Here is a 21,272-nt window from a genome sequence, read left to right as displayed (position 1 = left end):
ATTCCAGCCCTACAGCCTCATATACTCAGGCCCACTATTAAGCTCTGTACTCAGGCCCGTTATTAGGCTCTTAGCATAAGTCTTTATAAAAAGTCTTTCCACTGGCTAAACTGAGATGCCACAGAGCATAAGGGAAATTTACCACTTATAATACATCCTTTTGAAGATTACCACTGGGAATGGATGCAGAGGTTATCATTCCACCTATATACCCCATGAGAAGTCCCTGGTCCCAAATCTCTGCCTGACTTGCTGTAAAAGGTAATCCTCCACACTTTGCATGTAAAATCTGTAGTGCTATTATTTAGGAAGTCTCTAAGTTTAATTTCTCTTTCTATACAGGACTTAGAATCAAATTATCCGAAATTTCATTTAAAACTAATGCAAAAATTATCTGAAATTTCAGCCTCTCCAATGACCCCCAGCTTCTGGGTCCTTCCCTGTCCCACACTGCTCGTGAAGCCCTGTCTATCCAAAACACTAGCATCTGTGGCTCCATCTAAAAAGACAAAGTAGGGCTGGGTGCGGTGGCTCATACCCATAATCCCAGAAATTTGGGGAGCCAAGGCAGAAGGATTGCTTGAGCCCAGGAGTTTGACACCAGCCTGGGCAAAATAGTGAGACACGGCCTCTAATTAAAAAAAAAAAATTAAAAATTAGTCAGGTGTGATGGTGTACGTCTGTGGTCTCAGCTACTCGGGAGACTGAGGCAGGAGGATCGCCTGAGCCCAGGAGTTTAGGGCTGCAGTGAGCCATGATCACCACTGTACTCCAGCCCGGGCGACAGAGTGAGACCCTGTCTAAAAGTAAGAGGACAAAGTAGAAAACAAAGGCTTTCACATCTTAAATTCAAAATTCCATTTTGTCCTTAATTCACACACTGCATGAGAGACAGAATGTTCCCAGTGTTGAACAACGTGCCAAGAGTGTTCCTGAAACACCATTTTGCAGGGACATCATCTACTCCTTACTTAGAAACTTTCTGTCACTGCCCATGGCCAAAAGGAAGCAGTTTTAACTTTTCAGGCTGACATTTAAGGCCCTCCCAGACTAGTTCTATTGTCTAAATACTCATGACTTTCTTAATTTGTTAAATGTCCTTATCTTCTCAGACTGACATTCCATGGAACTCTGTGTGTCTGTCTTTCAGGGAAGCCCAGGACGGGCTTCCTGGAAGGCTATGCCCCACGACAGCCTGGTTCAGGCTGGTGGGGGGAGACTCTAGAGGGATGAGGGACTCTACTAAAGGGAAGAGGCACACGCAGCCGGGTGACAACCCAGTCTCCGTCATTCACAACTCCGAGACCTCGGCAGGCTGTAGGACTCAGTCTGGCTGAAGAAGTGACCACGGTGGCTCGACAGCCGAAAGACCGGCACAGTCCCTCAGCATGTTTTGCTTAGCAGACAGCAGGGTCATGTGTATTTACTGCCTCTGTCACATTCCTTTCCTTCAACACCCAGGCCAGCCCTATCTCTGTCACAAAGCCCTCCTTGATCCTTCCAACTTGAGTGCTTATTCTCTCCTTGGAAACACAGAGCAACTGGCCTGTCCCATTCATTTGATGTCAACACATGTTCCTCATTATTGAACGTAAGGGTGGATGAGGTCTGTTAGAACTCCGAGAGGAGCTCTGCTGCAAACTCTGCCAGAGTTGGGACGGCTGATCTGGGTGCCTCAGGAGTTGTCCCCTTCCACCCCCAACCTTCCACATTTACTTTGTGCTCCAAAATGTGAGAAAAGTTCACAGGGACAACTCTGTCAAACAGACGCTGTCTGGTCAAGCAGAGCAGGGTAGCTGTGCATCCCTGCTAAAACCTCTCTGTTCATTGTAAGTTCTTTACATCCAAGTTCTGCTTCCAGTAAGACAAGGCTCCTCCCGCAAAAGACTCACAGCCTTGTAAGGCTGGCCTTGGCCCTCGGCCCCAAACATGGTAAGGATTTAGGAAATGTTTGCCCCTCACGTCTACTACCATATTCTACCTGTGGAAACTCACTGGTGTAGTTCACGGTTTTAAAATACTTTGTTAATAAAATCACTACATCTCTGAGCTTCCTTGCCAAGGGCACCATTTAGTTATGAAGCAAATGATGCAGAAGAGAAAACAGTACTGTGTGTTACTGTGTGTCTCCCTGTCACTGTCAGCAGCTCTCTACTCAAAATCTAGGCCCCCAAAGGCCAGTGGCTGACTGATGCCCAAGCATCTCCCAGTGCAATGACCTGAAGTCTGTTCAGAATTCAGAAAGAGAATCTCAGTCTTCAACCTCCACTAGCAGAAGCTGGGGTTTCAGGGTGAGGTGACTCCCTCTTCCCATACAGGCTTGGAGCTGAGCCCTGCTAAGCGCCAAGAAAGGAAGTGACAAATGGGATGAGGGTTCTTTTACCTGGAGTGGAATGACAATCATGAAGATCTTTTTGTCTTTATCAGAAAGGATGTGCTTAATGAAAGCCCAGCCAGTGCCAATGAGTGCAATGGTGATGAAGAGTAGCGCCCCTTTCAAACTGGAAGAGAAAACAAGGAACAGACACCAGCAGGTCTCTTTAGACTCTCACTGCCAGTTAGATTGCATAGCTCATTCTATGAGTTCACAAGCTTCTTACAAAAGACGGGCAGCCAAATTTAGGAAATCCATCATACATGAGCACCACTTCCTTCAGGGCACACAGTTAGCTCTGCACCCCACAGCCTGGACAGCCAATGGCCGCAGAGAGGCAGGAGTATGCCACTAAGCCCGACTTCCCAAGTCTGGACAGCCACCCATGAGCTACACTCCTCTGGTATGGCAGGGGCCCAGACAGGCTGCCACAGGAGGGCAGGGCTGGTTAACTTGGGGCAGGTTGTTGCCCACCCCCCTTGTCTTGTATGTCATTTCATGGTGTATTTCACATGGACCTGCATACTTACAGGTGAGTTATGTAGTACACAACAGCCCAGCCTTCGATAGGGAAGCCCTGGGAGGAGATGTAGTGGTAGTCAATCTGAAATCAAACAACTGCATTTCAGAATCACTCATTATCTACATGGCTCCACAAAGAATCTTTTAACTTGGACCCATTTGGGAAATTATCCAAATCATTGTCATTTGGTGACGCTGCCACTGGATATATTATTGCCTTTTCCAAGGAGGCCACTTTCAAGTACAGCAAAGAGTACATGTCTAGAGACTGTCATCCTTGCAAGTGTGCTCCACGGGCACTTGGAGGCCCACAGACAGGAGAAGTTGTGATCTTACCCCCTTGGGCAAGTTCATTTTAATTTGCATAAGTTCCAAATATACAAAGCTGAGGCTCAATTCTCATGCCTCCAGCTTTATAGCATCAATTTTCTCTCAGATAAATATGCTAATACTGAATTGAACTTCAAATCACAGAGGAACATGAGGGAATATCTGGAAACATAAAAAAGTCGTGGAGGCCGGGCGTGGTGGCTCATGCCTGTAATCCCAGCACTTTGGGAGGCTGAGGCGGGCGGATCACGAGGTCAGGAGATCGAGACCATCCTGGCTAACACGGTGAAACCCCGTCTCTACTAAAAATACAAAAAAATTAGCTGGGCGTGGTGGCGGGCGCCTGTAGTCCCAGCTACTCGGGAGACTCAGGCAGGAGAATGGCGTGAACCTGAGGGGAGGAGCTTGCAGTAAACAGAGATCACGCCACTGCACTCCAGCCTGGGCAACAGAGCGAGGCCCCGTCTCAAAAAAAAAAAAAAAAAAAAAAAAAAAAAAAAAAAAAAAAAAAAGTCGTGGAAACAAGTCAGCAGGTGGCACTCTCATCTCTAGAAATGGTAAAAAAACAAAACAAACCAAAAACAAAGAAATAAAAACAATAATAAGTGTTCTAGAAAAACTGTAGGTCTGTAAGCAGTATTAGAAGATGTCTGAAGTCTAATATGAGGGGAGGTGGTAATCATTTACCCGCATGGCCAGGCCCTCCCAGACAAGAGGAGGCTTTATGAGAAATGTATTCTTTGTCTTTGTTTCCCACCAATCTATCCCCTTTCTTCAAATTTCTTTTGCCTGCTCACACAGGCATTATACGTAATTTCATGAATGATCCTCAAAATGCTAATACATACTGCATGGAACACCAAGGAAAGAGACTTGGTGAAAGGAAGGGCCGCCATCAGCCAGTGGATTTTAAATACATCATTCCTATAAAAACAGAGAGAAAACAATTAAAGGAAGATTCCATTCTCCCAAAGGACAGCCAAAGCTCCAGACATTAGCTATATTTATAAGGAGACAGGAAATATAATCTGTGCAAACCACAAACATGAAACTTTTTTTTTTTTTTGAGACAGGGTCTTATTCTGTCGCCCAGGCTAGAGGACAGTGGTGTCATCACGGCTCACTGCAGCCTTGAACTCAGGCTCAAGCGATCAAGCAGCTCTCAGGAAGCTGAGGTGGGAGGATGGCTTTAGGTGTATGCCACCATGCCCAACTAATTTGTTTTGTATTTTTTATACAGAAAGGGTTTTGCTAAGTTTCCCAGGCTGGTCTTGAACCCCTGGCCAAGCAATCCACCCACTTCGGCCTCTCAAAGTGTTGATATTACAGGCATGAGCCACTGTACCCAGCTAAAACTTTTTTTTTTTGAGACAAGAGTATCGTTCTGTCACCCAGGCTGGAGTGCAGTGGCACAAACTTGGCTCCCCGCTAACTCCACCTCCCGGGATCAAGTGATGCCCCCCCACCGCCTCAACCTCCTGAGTAGCCGGGATTACAGGCGTGCGCCAAGATGTCTGGCTAATTTTTGTATTTTTAGTAGAGACAGGGTTTCACCACATTGGCCAGGCTGATCTTGAACTTGTAACTTCAAGTAATCCACCCGCCTCTGCCTCCCAAAGTGCTGGGATTACAGGGGTGAGCCGCCACACCCAGCCACTTTTTTTATAAAGTACGTTTTGCTGGTAAAAAAGGCCTTGAATGGAGTCCTAAAGTAATCTCTAATACACAATTTAATGTTGTGAATGAACCTGAGAGTTATGCACCAAAGCTAGACATGATGGATTCCAACTCTTGAGTAAATGGAAATCTAACACAGGCTGCCAGCTTGTTCCCGGAAACCACCCTGGGAAAGCCAGAGGCAAGAATGAGGTAGATGGACCTGAGAAAACAGCACAGAACTCCTAGGAAAGCAGAAAGCGATTACAAATAGCTGTAGGGGAAGTCTGCAGCCCAGAGTAGGGGGACTGGGAGCCAGCAGTAGGGATGTGTGAGGAGAAAGTGCCAGGGTCATGCCCATTTCTCTCTCCTTCATGGCTGGTGTCTGCAAATACCCCAGGCCAATGAGACAAAGCACCCATTCCCATGCCCACCCCATCACAGATACTAGTCCACCTTTCGGCTGCCGGGCATTAAATTCCTCTACTCCTTCCCACCTCCCCTTAGGAATTAACCTAATAGAACATATTAAGACTATTATGAGGCTAGGTGCAGTGGCTCATGCCTGTAATCCCACACTTAGGGAGGCTGAGGTGGGAAGATTACTTAAGCCCAAGAGTTTGGGATTAGCCTGGGCAAGATGACAAAACTCCATCTCTACCAAAAATACAAAAAGTTAGCTGGGTGTGGCGGTGCACACCTGTAGTCCCAGCTACTTGGGAGGCTGATGTGGGAGGATCACTTGAGCCCAGGAGGCAAAGGCTGCAATGAGCCGTGACTGTGCCATTGCACTCCAGACTGGGTGACAGAGCGAGTCCCTGTCTCAAAACGGTCTCAAAACAAACAAAAATTAAGCCAGGAGTGGTGGTGCGTCCCTATAGTTTCAGCTATTCGGGAGGCTGAGGTGGGAGGATCACTTGAGCTCAGGAGTTTGAGGCTGCTGTAAGCCTTGATTACGCCACTGCTCCAGCCTGGACAACTTAGTGAGACCCTGTCTCAAAAAAAAAAAAAAAAACCCAAAGAATACAGGCAGCCACAAGAGGGGAAATGGTTAAGTCTCTAAAATGATAATCCACATCACCAATATTCAGAGAAACGCAAAATAAAGCAAGATACCACTTTACACCTATCAGATTGGCAAAAATTAAGATGTCAGTATTGGTAAGAATGTGGAGAAACAGCAAACCTTATTATGTATGCACCACTGGTAGACGTATAAACCTATATGCCACACTGGAAGGCAATCTGGCCCTTAACGAAATTAACTGATGGCTGGGCGCAGTGGCTCATGCCTGTAGTCCCAGCACTTTGGGAGGCCGAGGCGGGAGGATCTCTTGAGGCCAGGAGTTCAAGACCTGCTTGGCCAACACAGTGAAAACCCGTCTCTACTAAAAATACAAAAATTAGCCCGGCATGGGCGTACATGCCTATAGTCCCAGCTACTCAGGAGGGTGAGGCAGGAGAATCGCTTGCACTCAGGAGGTGGAGGTTGCAATGAGCCAAGATGGTGCCACTGCACTCCAGCTTGGGTGACAGAGTGAGACTCTGTCTCAAAAAAAAAAAAAAAAAGAAAAAAAAGAAAAGTAAAGAAAAGAAATTAACTACCCATGGCACAGTGTGCTTCCTTCTGGGACTGCAGCTCGGAGGCTGCACAGATCCACAGGGGATCTTTGGAGGTACATGCCAGCACTGGCTGAGGTAGCAGGGAGATGTAGGCAGTCCAGGCGTGTGTCTATCACTAAAGGACCAAAGCAGTCAAACGTGAGGACACAGAGCATGGGATGCTGTGGAGTAGGTAAAAATCAATGAATGAGATGCACACTCAGCCACATGGCTAGATCGCAGAAAGGATAATACTGAGTAAAAAATGTACAACAACGTCTATAGATATTTTATGTAAACTTAAAATAAATGCAACACCAGTAAACAGTACTTATCTATAAGAATATAGAAATATCCAAAAATCAGGCCAGACGCAGTGGCTCACGCCTGTAATCCCAGCACTTTGGGAGGCCGATCACCTGAGGTCAGGAATTCTAGACCAGCCTGGCCAACGTAGTGAAACCCCGTCTCTACGAAAAATACAAAAATTAGCCGGGCATGGTGGCAGGCGCCTGTAGTCCCAGCTACTCGGGAGGCTGAAGCACGAGAATTGCTTGACCCGGGAGGCGGAGGTTGCAGTGAGCTGAGATTGCACCACTGCACTCCAGCCTGGGGCACAGAGTGAGACGAGGTCTCAAAAAAAAAAAAAAAAAAGTCCAAAAATGTATATGCAACACATTTGAGCAGTTCTCCACTACTGGGAAGGAGTGGGAGAGGGGACAGGAAATGAAGGGGAACAATAGAGCAGGAGAGGGGCCTGGCACCAAGTGAGAATGAGAGTGTACCACAAAGGGATATCAGTTTCTGGGCTCATTTCCTCCCTGGTACTTTCCTGTTCCAGTGCCCACCTACTTGAAGGTCAAAAGGGAAGTCAAGGCCAGAATAGCCTGGAACTACTGAATGCCAATGAGATTTACCCAGAGTGTAAAACCACCCACCACAAAGAGCTGTGCTCATTCACACTCTGGCAACCTTGACTTGCAGTCCATGGTTAGAATATCTACGATGGGGCAGAGATGTGATGGAAAGAATACTCACTGACCTCGGCTCAAATACTAGTTCTACCTACACTTGAAGTTGGGAGGGGCCTGATACATACTAGCAAGCAGACCCGAGTTCCAGTCCCAGGTCTGTTGGGTGACACTGGCTCTCGTTTCCCCTCTCTGGGCCTCAATAAATGAGGCAAAGATCTCTTAGTCGTTTCCAGCTTTCAGGGGCCAGTGAAATGCGCCTGGCGGCCTTGGTCATATGCCTTTATATCATGTGGGTTTCCAGCCTACCAGAACTGACTCTAAGACTCCCGGGAAAACATGGGCAGGACTTAACTGACCTTCCCCCATGCACACTATACTCCAACAAAAATTACAGATGAGACTTGTACACAATAGGTCAGCCTCATTTAACCACAGATTGAAAACTGTGTTATCACGGTCTGGGTGCACTGGCTCATGCTGGTAATCCCAGCACAATGGGAGGCCAAGGCAGGTGGATCACGAAGTAAAGAGATCAAGACCATCCCAGCCAACATGGTGAAACCCCGTCTCTACTAAAAATACAAAAATAAGCCAGGCATGGTGGCGGACGCCTGTAGTCCCAGCTACTTGGGAGGCTGAGGCAGAAGAATCACTCAAACCCAGAAGGCAGAGGTTGCAGTGAGCCAAGATTGCACCACTGCACTCCAGCCTGGCGACAGAGCGAGACTCTGTCTCAAAAAAAATAAAATAAAGAAAACTGTTACCACAATTTGATACAAGTGAACCAGTGACAATGACTATTGCCACCAATAACTAAAGGAAAATTAAAACACCACTGAACCCCTGGCTACTAAACTATTTTATAAACACCTCATGTTTGGATTGCGCCCTGATTTGCAAAGCCCTCTCATACACATTATCTTAGGGAGAATCACACAACATGTCTAAGAATCCAAGACTCTTACAGGAAGGCAGAGTAACTATTACTGTCCCAGTTTCATAGCCAAGAAAAAAAGAGATTTACAGTGAAGCAAGGCACACAGGCAGTCACTGTCCAAGTTCACACCTGAAATCAGGTCTGACTCCTAGTTCTTACTTTTCCAGTAAAGGCAAAAGTAGAACTTTCTTTGAAAAAAATAAAAAATAAAAAATAAAAAAAAACAACAGAGGCCGGGCGCAGTGGCTCACGCCTGTAATCCCAGCACTTTGGGAGGCCAAGGCAGGTGGATCACCTGAGGTCAGGAGTTCAAGACCAGCCTGGCCAACATGGCAAAAGCCAGTCTCTACTAAAAATGCAAAAATTCGCCAGGCATGGTGGCAGGCACCTGTAATCCCAGTTACTCGGGAGGCTGAGGCAAGAGAATCGCTTGAACCTGGGGGACAGAGGTTGCGGTGAGCTGAAATCTCACCACTGCACTCCAGCCTGGGCGACAGAGCGAGACTGTGTCTCAAAAAAACAAAAAAAAACAAAAACAAACAAAACAAAACAAAATAAAAAAACCCACCCAAAAACTTTAATGGCCTAAATTTTTATAACCTTCCCTCCTTCCATCTGCCTCTTTCTCTTTCTTTCTTAGAGACAGAGTCTTACTCTGTGTCCCAAGCTGGAATGCAGTGGCACAAACATAGTTCACTACAGCCTCGAACCCTTGGGCTCAAGCAATCCTCCCACCTCAGCCTCCCAAGTAGTGAGCACTACAGGTGTGCACCACCACAACTGGATTTTTTTTTTAATTTTGTGCAGTGGCACAATCTCAGCTCACTGCAAGCTCCACCTCCCAGGTTCACGCCATTCTCCTGCTTCAGCCTCCTGAGTAGCTGGGACTATAGGCACCTGCCACCACGCCCAGCTAATTTTTTGTATTTTTAGTAGAGATGGGGTTTCACCGTGTTAGCCAGGATGGTCTCGATCTCCTGACCTCATGATCCGCCCACCTCGGCCTCCCAAAGTGCTAGGATTACAGGCGTGTACCACCGCGCCCAGCCCACAACTGGATAATTTTTAAATTTGTTTGTAGAAATGGAGTCTTGCTGGGCCAGGTGTGGTGGCTCACGCCTGTAATCCCAGCACTTTGGGAAGCTGAGCCAGGTAAATTACCCGAGGTCAGCAGTTCAAGACCAGCCTGGCCAACATGGTGAAAGCCCGTCTCTACTAAAAATATAAAAATCAGCTGGGTATGTTGGCACATGCCTGTAATCCCACCTACTTCAGAGGCTGAAGCACCAGAATCGCTTGAACCCAGAGGTGGAGGTTGCAGTGAGTAGAGATTAGGCACTGCACTCCAGCCTGGGGGCTAGGGGAGAGAGTGAGAATCCATCTTGAAAAAAAAAAAGAAATGGGGGTCTTGCTATGTTGCCCAAGCTGGTCTCAAACTCACAGACTCAAGTGATCCTCCTGCCTTGGCTTCCCAAAGCACTGGGATTACAGGTGTGAGCCACCACACCTCGCCCATAGGATTTTTCTTAGTAATTGCTGCTTGAAAATCTAGTCCAAACATGATTATGTAGCTCCTTCCCAAGTAAACAAGAAACTCTTTCTATCTGGTGGGTGTACAGGATATCACAACAAATAGGTACCAGCAACTGAACCCAGCCAGAGTCTAATATACCAGACTCCGAGCATGTTCATTAGAAGACAATCAAGCTACCAAGGACTTAAAAAGTCTCAATTTCCACCCCAATGCTCCAGAGAAAGAGGTATTTCAGGGTGCTTAATTATTCTATGAATTTAAATCAATCCATATTATAATAGCATATTCGCATACTATCATTTACTCAGTTTATGAGCCTTATAATAAATACTTTACACGATTCTCTAAATGAATATTAATATTTTGTTTTCAATTTTCTTGGAGGGAGAAAGAATTCACGCATATGCAGCTGCTCCCCTCAAGAACCAAGTACAGGAAGTTAAAGCCTCGGGGGTTTCAGAAAAAAAAGGCTAAAAGCCAGGCAGATGGGCTTTGAAGAGGTTTTGTCCAGTGACAAGTATCTGGAAGTCAATGCAGAGAATCTATCCCAGTGCAGCTTTGAGCCAAGACCTTCAGTTCTAAGCAGTAACTCCATGCTCTCGCCAGGCAGTGCTCATCGTCACTAACTTCCTCTCCAGAAGCAACAGCCCCTGAATGAGACCCATGTGTTTACTCTCAGTCCTGGACTGTGGGATCTCCACCATGGAAACACTTAGCTTATACAGTCTATTTTGCTTGCATACCATTAAAAATATTTAGGGCCAGGCACGGTGGCTCATGCCTGTAATCCCAGCACTTTGGGAGGCCCATGTGGGCAGATCATGAGGTCAGGAGATCAAGACCATCCTGGCTAACACGGTGAAACCCCATCACCACTAAAAATACAAAAACAAAATTAGGCGGGCGTGGTGGCGGGCGCCTGTAGTCCCAGCTACTTGGGAGGCTTAGGTGGAAGACTGGCATGAACACAGGAGGCGGAGCTTGCAGCGAGCTGAGATCACGCCACTGCACTCCAGCCTGGGATACAGAGTGAGACTATGTCTCAAAAAAAAAAAAAATTATAATAATTTAGATTTGCTTTTTAAACAAAACAACAGGAAGTGAACAGACACCAAGGCATGCAAAGGGCTCCCACACCATAATGCTCCCGCACAATCTTCATACTGTTTCCGGGAAGATGCCCTTTGAAAGGAACAACACTGCTAAGTGACAACTGCCTCCAGGTTCAGGAGCCAACAAACAGTGACATTATTCAAATCTCAACACACTCTTAAGTTGAAGGGAGAAATAGTTTACCGTCGTTTTCGAAGGATATGAATCCAGATGGTCCCAGAAAGAAAGAAGAAAAAGGCCATTGAGATGTATAATTTGGGGAGAGGAATTTCTCCTGCTGAGAGGTAGCTGTCAGGATTCTTCTCTGTGATCTCAATCTGAAACCAGCATGAAATTAATTTTTACTTTTCAGAAACATATCATCCCTTATTCAGCAATTTGGAATCTCAGTTGTTTCACTTAAGCTTAAGAAAGTAAGTACCAGTGGCTGGGCATGGTGGCTCACACCTGTAATCTCAGCACTTTGGGAGGCTGAGGCGGGTGGATCACGATCACCTGAGATCAGGAGTTCAACACCAGCCTGGCCAACATGGTGAAACCCCGTCTCTACTAAAAACACAAAAAAAATTAGGGCCAGGCACAGTGGCTCACGCCTGTAATCCCAGCACTTTGGGAGGCCGAGGTAGGTGGATCACAAGGTTAGGAGTTCAAGACCAGCCTGGCCAACATGGTGAAACCCTGTCTCTACGAAAAACACAAAAATTAGCCAGGTGTGGTGGCGCACCCTTGTAATCCCAGCTACTTGGGAGGCTGAGGAAGGACAATCACTTGAACCCAGGAGGCAGAGGTTGCAGTGAGCCAAGATTGCACCACTGCACTCCAACCTGAGTGACAGAGCAAGACTCCGTCTGGAAAAAAAAAAAAAAAAATTAGCCAGGCATTGTGAAAGGCGCCTGTAATCCCAGCTACTCAGGAGGCTGAGGAAGGAGAATCACTTGAACCCAGGAGATGGAGGTTGCGGTGAGGCAAGATCATGCCATTGCACTCCAGCCTGGGCAACAAGAATGAAACTCCATCTCAAAAAAAAAAAAAAAAAAAGTGAGTACCAGCAAATAACCACACAACCACTTTTTTTTTTTAATTTGAGACAGGGTCTCACCCTTTTGCCCAGGCTGGAGTGCAGTGATGCAATCTCGGTTTACTGTAACCTCTGCCTCCTGGGCTCAAGAAATCCTCCCACCTGAGTAGCCGGGACTAGAGGTGTGTACCACCACGCCTGGCTAATTTTTCACATTTTTTGTAGAGAGAGGGTTTTGCCATATTGCCCACACTGGTCTCAAACTCTTGGACTCAGGTGATCTGCCCACCTCAGCCTCCCAAAGTGCTGGGGTTACAGGCATGAGCCACCATGCCCAGCCAAAACAACCACATTCTTAACGCACAGGTTAAAGTGCAGACACATCCTAAATTGCTTTGTATTTTCCTATGAATCCTCTGCTGAAGTATCCTGCACAGTGGCAGGAATGTGTGTCTGCCCACATTCTTTTCTTAAGTATTCTTAAAATCTAATCTTATACAGAAACAAATCTCCCGTTTTATGCTGACAAAATCCACGTAGAACAATCTCCAAACAGTACTCACATCAAGGCTGAATGTAAACTTGTCACTTGGCAATTCTTTTCCAAGGCATTTATGAAAATAAAGACTGTAAAGGCCTTCTTGGTCATCAGTGCTGATGTTAAAGAAAAACTGAAAGTGAAGAAGAAAACATTTAAAGGTACCCAAATCCTCAGCGATATATATTTTTTCTTTTATTTTTTCTTTTAAAGTATTGTTTACTTTTTTGTTCAAATTCTACTCAGCTATATTTCTAAACCTTAGAAATAAGTTATGAATATTAATGGATTGAAGGAAATAAAGACAGACTGCTTAAATTATCGACTCTCCCACGGCAGAGTTTAAAGAGATATCTTCTTATTCTATGATTCCCTTCCGATATTTTGTTACAACAATTTTCAAGCATACAGAACAGCTGACAATTGTATAGTGAAAGATACATAGCCACAACCTCACTTCTACAGTGAACATTTTACTATGCCTGTTTTATCACAGATCTAGCCATTTGTGATGGCTTTGTGGAAGTCTTCAAAGATAACCTAAGATGTGGTTATCTAGTCTTCAAGCTAACGTATTATTTTGCTCTTTATAGGTATAAAATACTCTTTAAAAAGGAGGCTCATCTTATACTTGAAAACCAATCAATATTTCCTCATCAAAATTTACAACTATGGTTTTAGAGAAGAATAATAAAGGCTACATTTTCTACATTTAGACAGTTTTCTGTTTTTCATACATTTCATGAGTTTAAATGAAGTTTAATGTAAACCAAAAGACAGACAGACTTAGAGAATATGACTTCTTGGTCAAGCCTAAGAAAATTTTACTTCAGCCATAAGTTCTACCAATAAAAAGAAATCTCCCTGAAATACATTTTTAGGGCTACATATATATACCTATTAAACTACAAAGAAAAGCTAGGAAGTGACTACGGTAGCATTTTTCATGACGGGTTGCTCTAGAGTTGGGAAGGACTGCGAGGGAGACACAAGGTTTCTCAGGTGCTGGAACTGTTCTATTTCTTGTCCTGGGTGGTGGATCATAAAGGTGACTGTTCATAGTTACTTGTTAAAACTCAATATAAGTGCTTCACACTCTTCTGCATGTATACTGTACCTCACAATTTAAAAAAACGGGGAAAAATAGACATCTGACAAAAATAAAAATAAAAGACCAAGAACACATGAGCTGGAATGATTAATATGTTAAACCATGTGCCAAACTCAATGGTGAATGTGAATGTGTATTTTAATCCCCTGAGCTAGCCAGAATAAGAAAACTTTTCTAAACACATGGACAACTTCTATTTTAAAAGATTCAGGGGAAGTCTAAAAAAGATATGAAAGTTTAAAAGATATAATTTTTTTTAAAAAATCAATAGAATCATCATAGTTGATCAGAGTAGGCATCTGACCCTTAGAGAAAAAAACAAAACAAAAATGTCAACTCTAGAGTTGGAGTAAGCCCTGACAGTCCCCTTCCTGTATTTAGGTAGATAAACCACTATCCCCACGCCATGAATGAAGCAGAAGCGCTCAGAGTGGACTGCACCATCCAAGACTGGGAGACACTGGGTAGAACAGCGAGAAATCATGACGACTTCTTTCCAAGGTGGGGGAAAGCCAGAGAAACGCAAGCTACCCATGCACTGCCTGCTCCACGCATCCCAAGAACCCTGCGGATGGGCTGTTTCAGCACGTGCTGCTAATCACCATGCAGACTGCTGTGCCTGGATGTTCGCCTGACACAAAGTACTGGTGCCTGACACGTGTGCATCCTGTAACACTTTCCTTTGTGATTAAAAAAGAGGGAAGCATTTGAAAAACTTTTTTTTTTTTGAGATGGAGTCTCAGACTGTCGCCCGAGCTGGAGTGCAGTGGCGTGATCTCGGCTCATTGCAACCTCAGCCTCCCGGGTTCAAGCAATTCTCCTGTCTCAGCTTCCCAAGTAGCTGGGATTACAGGCGCCCACCACCACCACACCCAGCTAATTTTTTGTATTTATTTATTTATTTTTTTAGTAGAGACGGGGTTTCACTATGTTTGCCAGGCTGGTCTCAAACTCCTAACCTTGTGATCCCAAAGTGCTGGGATTACAGGTGTGAGCCACCATGCCTGGCCTGAAAAACATTTTAAAAACTCATTTTATTAACAAGCATTTTAAAGTGAGAGAAGGAAGAGAGAAAAGTGCCTTTTGTATTTTCTCAAGGAGGCAGTAAAAGGCAAAGTGGTTAAACACATGGGCCTTGGAGTCAAACAAACGTGGATCTGAATCCCCTGCTTAGGGCAGGTTACATTACCTCTCTGAGCACAGTTTCTCATTGGTAAAAGAGAAAAAATAACAATACCGACTTCACAGAGTTGTTTAGAGGATTAACTGAGATAATGACATAGAAGCACTTAGCACAATGCCTGGTATTGGTTCATTAGTCTCTATAAATATAGGCCCAAGGCCAAGATCAGGAGTTTCATATACATCAATAATAAGAGACAGAAAACCCCTGCCCTTAAGGTATCTTCTGTAGAGGGGGAGACAGGCAATAAACATAACTAAGTACAGTATACAGCATGTTGGAAGTGATAATACTAAGGAAAGACAGAGCACAATGAGGGAAATAGGAGTGAGCTACAAACAAGAGAAGCTTTGTTGAGAAGGTGACATTTCAGCAAAGACTTACGGAATTCTGAGAGACAGCATTCCTGCCTGTGGGAACAGCGAGAGCAGAGCCTAAAGCCTGATCTGTCCGAGAAAAAGCAAGGCGGCTTGTGTGGGAGAGCAGAGTGTGAACAACAGGAGCTGAGATCAGAGAGACAACAGGGGCTAGACCACATGGGCCTTGCAGACCAGTGGGAAGACCTGGGCTTTACTCCAAGACAGATGGAAAGCTGTTGGAGGGTTCTGAGCAAATGAGCACCCTGCAAGTTCTCAATAACCGTTAGCTATTAATAAGGATGGCGACGAAAATGATGGTTACTAAGCTTAAAGAACATACAAACATTGTTGAACAGGCAAAATGATCCATGGAAAAAGAAATCAGAACAGTGCTTATGGGGATAGAGGGGCTTTCGCAGAAGATGGAAACACAGAAATATTGAGACAGTGAATTACATGGGTATATATGCATTTGTCAGTACTGAACAAACCGTATACTTAAGACACGACCTGTGCATTTCACTGTAGGCTTTTTTTTTTTTTTTTTTTTGAGACAGGGTCTCACTCTGTCACCCAGGCTGCAGTGCAGTGGCATGATCGAGGTTCACTGTGTGAACCTTGACCCCCCAGGCTCAAGTAATCCTCCTGCCTCAGCCTCCCTAGTAGCTGGGACTAGAGGCACATGCCATCACACCTGGCTACTTTTTGTAATTTTTTTTAAGAGATGAAGTTTCACCACATTTCCCAGGATAGTCTTGAACTCCTGGGCTCAAGTGATCCTCCCACCTTAGCCTCCCTAGTAGCTGGGACTGTAAGCATCTACCACCATGCCTGGCTAATTTTTGTATTTTTTGTAGAGATGTTTCACCATGTTGCCCAGGCTGGTCTCAAAACTCCTGGGCTCAAGCAATCCGCCTACCTCAGCCTTCCAAAGTGCTGGGATAACAGGCGTGAGCCACCACGCCCTGCCATTTTTTATTTTTAGATGATTAAACAGTGAGGTTCAGAAAGTAAGTGAGACCAGGCAAGGTGGCTCACATCTGTAATCTCGGCACTTTGGGAGGCCCAGGTAAGAGGACTGCTTGATCCCAGGAGTTCAAGACCAGCCTGGGCAACAGAGCAAGACCTCATCTCTACAAAAAATTTAAAAATTAGCCAGGTATGGTGGTCTATGCCTGTAGTCTCAACTACTTGGGAGGCTGAGGCAGGAGGATCACTTGAGCCTAGGAGGTTGAGGCTGCAGTGAGCCGTGATTATACCATTGCACTCCAGCCTGGGCAACAGAGTGAGACCTTGTCTCAAAAACAAAACAAAAAGAAATGAAGTGAGGTGTCCAATACACCCAGCTAGTAAGTGGGTTCTGAGGCCCAGTCCAGTATCTTGTTCCCATACGTATGCTATTATGCTGCCCCTAAACACTCATGGGCAATTAATAACTCTGACAGCTAAGCAGGTCACTCAAAGCCTCTGAGTCTAGGTGAAATCATCTCTAAAATTACAACATCACCGTAAATCATCATCAATGGTCCTTTCAGAATGGGGTACTATGCTTCTGGCACACTTTGAATGGGAGGTAGCATGGGATTGGGGCAAAGGGGTCATGGGAACAGCCAGGCAGGACTGGGTTGGAAACTGTACCGTGTCACCTACACTAGATAGTCACAAAGTTATTCACTCTCAGAGACTTCTGATTTGATAAGTAGATGGGTAACAATATCCACCTTGTGGGCTTGTTATAAGGAGAGCTACTGCATTTAAGTGACTGATACAGGGCATACCTAAGTTGTTATTCCTAAATTCAAAATTCCTCTAAAAAAAAATTACCCTTTTACATGGTAGAGAGAAATTCTAGGAGGCTTTACACAAAGAGCATACATACCTGAAATGACACTGCCCCACCATTATTATGAACAGAAAAGGATTTCTCTCCCATGGCCTAAAAAGACATAATAGTATGTTTTAGGATGACACCGGCATAGAAGCATGCTAATTAAAAGTAATTTATTAAACAAAACAAAACATGTTTCTTAAACTCTAAATTTGCTGACCTTCAAAAAAGCTCTCTGAAAATAAAACCAACTATCCTTTCGAGATGGCTGAAATCTGCTTTCACAGAGAATGGTAGTTGTTCTTCACCTGTCTCTTCTGCCTCTGCACTAACCCCTACCTCCACCCCCTGCCTTGAATCTTTCGGCTAGACAGCTTGTCTACCCTTGAAGCTTCAGTCAGACTAAGGGTGCTGACCCAGGCCATGCCCTGTTACATCCCCTGAATTCCACTCCTGACATCAAATGACCAAAATATTGGCCAGGCACAGTGGCTCACGCCTGTAATCCCAACATATTGGGAGGCCAAGGTGGGCAGATCACTTGAGGTCAGGAGTTCAAGACCAGCCTGGCCAACAAGGTGAAACCCCATCTCTACTAAAAATACAAAAATCAGCCAGGCGTGGTGGTGCGTGTCTATAATCCCAGCTACTCCGGAGGCTGAGGCAGGAGAACTGCTTGAACCTGGGAGGTGGAGGTTGAGATCGTGCCACTGCACTCCAGCCTGGGTGGTAGAGCAAGACTGCGTTCCCCCCGGCAAAAAAAAAAAAAAAAATCAAAATATTGCCATTTATACAGTAAAACTGAGCAATGAAAAGAAATGATACATGCAACAATGTGGATGAACTCAAAGTAATTATGCTGAATATAAGACAGAAAAGAGTGCTGCATAATTCAGTTATATGAAGTTCTATAAAACTAATCTATACCCCAGTGACAGATCAGTGATTGCTTGGGGACAGGGGGCTTACAAAAAGGCAGAAGAAATTTTTGGGGTGATGGATATTTCACTACCTTGATTGATAAGTCAAAGTTATCAGATTGCTGCTTTACATATCTACAGTTTATTTTAGGTCAATTATACTTCAACAAAGCTGTTAAGACAAAACATCACCATTTAGATGTCCCCCTCATGGAGAAATCAAGATATCGCCAACCAAAACTTTCCCAGTTTTTCCACTTCTGCTATTTCTACGACCCACTCCTCTGCTCCTCTCTTTCCCTCCCATGACCCTAACTGGCTTCCCAGTCGTTTACCATCCAAGGCTCTGCTCTAGTCCAGATCCTCATCACCCGAAACCTGTATTCTCACAACTGTGTCCTTCCTGGTCCTTCTAACAACCCTTTCTCCTTCTCCAAGGCTACCCTTCACGTCACTTTCAGAATTATGATCTTTAATAAACAGTCTTTCCCAATCAGGAACTCAGGATGACTTCCCGTAGCCTGCTCATCAATTCCTCTATTGCTTGGCCCTATATTATCTAAGACCTCTCTCTGCTCCCAAATATGTGTCTTTTACTTCAAACGAGCCAGTGCTCAGCATTTGTCATCATCCAGTCTTTGCGTATGGCATTCTTCCTCCCCTCCCTTGTCTTTCTCTTCCCTGAACAAACTCCAGACTCAGCCCCGGCGACAGCTCCTTCCAGAGGGCTTTTCTGATGGTTTGGCATCTTCCTTCCCTAACTACCTGATCCTACATCATGTAAGTGCTGTGCAACTTAGAAATCAATTTTCTTTTCCTTTTTTTTTTTTTTGAGACAGGGTCTCACTCTGTCACCCAGGCTAGAGTGAAGTGGCACAATCATAGCTCACTGTAGCCTTAGCCTCCCAGGCTCAGGTGATCCTTCCACCTCAGCCTCCAGAACAGCTGCGACCACAGGCGCATACCACCATGCCCGCTAATTTTCTATTTTTTGTAGAGATAAGGTTTCGCCATGTAGCCCAGGCTGGTCTTGAACTCCTGGGCTCAATTAATCCACCCACCTCAGCCTCCCACAGTGCTGGGATTACAGGCGCAAGCCACCATGCCCAGCCAGGAATCAATTGTCCTTTGAAATTGTTTCAGTATGTCAATGCTCTCCCCCAAAATAGGAGACAATTCCCTGTAGATTTTTTTTTTTTTTTAACTTTTTTTGAGATAGTCTCACTCTGTCACCCAGGCTGGAGTGCAGTAGCGCGATCTTGGCTCACTGAAGCCTCTGCCTCCCAGGTTCAAGTGATTCTCCTGCCTCAGCCTCCCAAGTAGCTGGGATTACAAGCATGCACCACCAAGCCCAGCTAATTTTTGTATTTTTAGTAGAGACAGAGTTTCACTATGTTGGCCAGGCTGGTCTCGAACTCCTGATCTCAAGTGATCCCCCAACCTCAACCTCCCAAAGTGCTGGGATTACGGCATGAACCACCACATCTGGCCCCCTGTAGATGAGATATGCGTGTGTGTGTATGTATGTATGTGTGTACATATATATATATATATATATATGTTAGCTCTCTGTATTGCAGGTTCCACATCTGCAGATTGAACCAACTGCCAACCAAAAATATTTTTTAAAATAAGATGAAAAAGTAATAGTAATAAATAACATAAATAAAAATCCAACACAGTGTAACAACTATTTACAAAGCATTTACGTTGTATTAGGTATCATGAGTACTCCAGAGATGATTTAAAGTACACAGGAGGATGTGTGTAGGTTATGTGTAAATACTATGCCATTTTATATAAGAGACATGAGCATCTACTGATTTTGATATTCACTAGGGTTCCTGTAACCAATCCCCTGTGGTCACCAAGGGACGACTGTATATGTATGTGTCTGTGCATGCATGTATGTATATATATCAATACACACACACACATGCATATAACACACACACGTACACACATATCCAGAAAAGCTGAGCACAAAAGGGTGGTTAGTTCTTACCTTTGAATCCACTGTACTTCTTTTAGACTTTCCACCATCTAGAAGCAAGAACATTTAAAAGAGAGTGCTGCATGACTCAACTTACAGATACATATATATATTACAGTATCATTTTATGAGGCTTCAGCTTGTCTAATATCAAATAATTAAACAAAATAATCTTGGGGACTGCCATTTCCTCAGGTCCCAAAACATAATTCTTGTACTGTCGAAGCAGCAAATTAGACCTTGTTATATTATAAATGGTATCTAGTAACCGGTAATAGTAACAACAGAATTCATTTCTGGATATTCTAGCTTATGTTATTGCCAGAGAGGCCACATGGAATGACTTCCTAATTTTCTAAGTAATCACATTTGAAAACACAATTTTTAAGAAGAAGGCCAGGTGCGGTGGCTCATGCCTGCAATCCCAACACTTTGGGAGGCTGAGGCAGGTGGATCACCTGAGGTCAGGAGTTTGAGACCAGCCTGGCCAACCTGGCGAACCCCCATCTCTACTAAAAATACAAAAATTAGTCGGGCATGGTGGTGCATGCCTGTAATCCCAGCTACTCGGGAGGCTGACACAGGAGAATCCCTTGAACCCAAAAGGTGTAGGCTGCAGTGAGCTGAGATCATACCACTGCACTCCAGCCTGGGTGACAGAGCGAGACTCCATCTCAAAAAGAAAAACATGAGATACATTTACACACTTGAAAAAGTTAACAGCAAGTAATATTAGCATAATGATACTTTCCTCCCTACAGCAAGAAGATTGCTAATGGCTTCTTTCATGGAACAGAGTGGGCATCTATCTTTTGTTTTCACTTAAGATATTCTTGGGCTGGGTGCGGTGGCTCATGCCTATAATCCCAGCACTTTGGGAGGCTGAGATGGGCGGATCATGAGGTCAGGAGATTGAGACCATCCTGGCTAACATGGTGAAACCCCGTCTCTACTAAAAAATACAAAAAAATTAGCCACGTGGTGGCAGGTGCCTATAGTCCCAGTTACTCGGGAGGCTGAGGCAGGAGAATGGCGTGAACCTGGGAGGTGGAGCTTGCAGTGAGCCGAGATCGCGCCACTGCACTCCAGCCTGGGAGACAGAGCAAGACTCCGTCTAAAAAAAAAAAAAAAAAAAAAAAAGATATTCTTTTTGGGAAAGACTGGACTTCAGGCTCCCTGCAGGAAGGAAGAGAATAAAGAGAAAGAAAAGAATATTTTCTTCCCAGAGAACGGTGATATGAGCACAAAGAAGCCAGACAAGAAGCAGATGGTGCACAGGC

At 44.8% G+C, this 21,272-nt stretch overlaps 1 protein-coding gene across 6 annotated transcripts in view; it reads right to left on the bottom strand.

Annotated features, from left to right (window-relative positions):
* The window catches only part of GPR107 (G protein-coupled receptor 107), an 86,259-nt gene that overhangs the window by 36,558 nt on the left and 28,429 nt on the right, over positions 1–21,272 (bottom strand). For all 6 annotated transcript variants that reach the window (XR_007061336.1, NM_001136557.2, NM_001136558.2 and 3 more), the window contains exons 6-12: positions 20,005–20,042; positions 17,131–17,187; positions 12,624–12,731; positions 11,226–11,359; positions 4,075–4,150; positions 2,905–2,978; positions 2,384–2,501 (exon numbers count right to left, since the gene is read on the bottom strand). Coding sequence is in view for 5 of the 6 variants with exons in the window: in NM_001136557.2 (NP_001130029.1) it covers positions 2,384–2,501; positions 2,905–2,978; positions 4,075–4,150; positions 11,226–11,359; positions 12,624–12,731; positions 17,131–17,187; positions 20,005–20,042 (605 nt within the window). In the remaining variant the exon portion in view is untranslated. The remainder of the gene's footprint in view (positions 1–2,383; positions 2,502–2,904; positions 2,979–4,074; positions 4,151–11,225; positions 11,360–12,623; positions 12,732–17,130; positions 17,188–20,004; positions 20,043–21,272) is intronic.

The sequence above is a fragment of the Homo sapiens genome, chromosome 9, assembly GCF_000001405.40.
Source record: "Homo sapiens chromosome 9, GRCh38.p14 Primary Assembly".
NCBI lineage: Eukaryota > Metazoa > Chordata > Mammalia > Primates > Hominidae > Homo > Homo sapiens.
The sequence above is the reverse complement of the archived record's forward strand: the minus strand, read 5'-3'. Positions and strand labels throughout refer to the sequence as shown.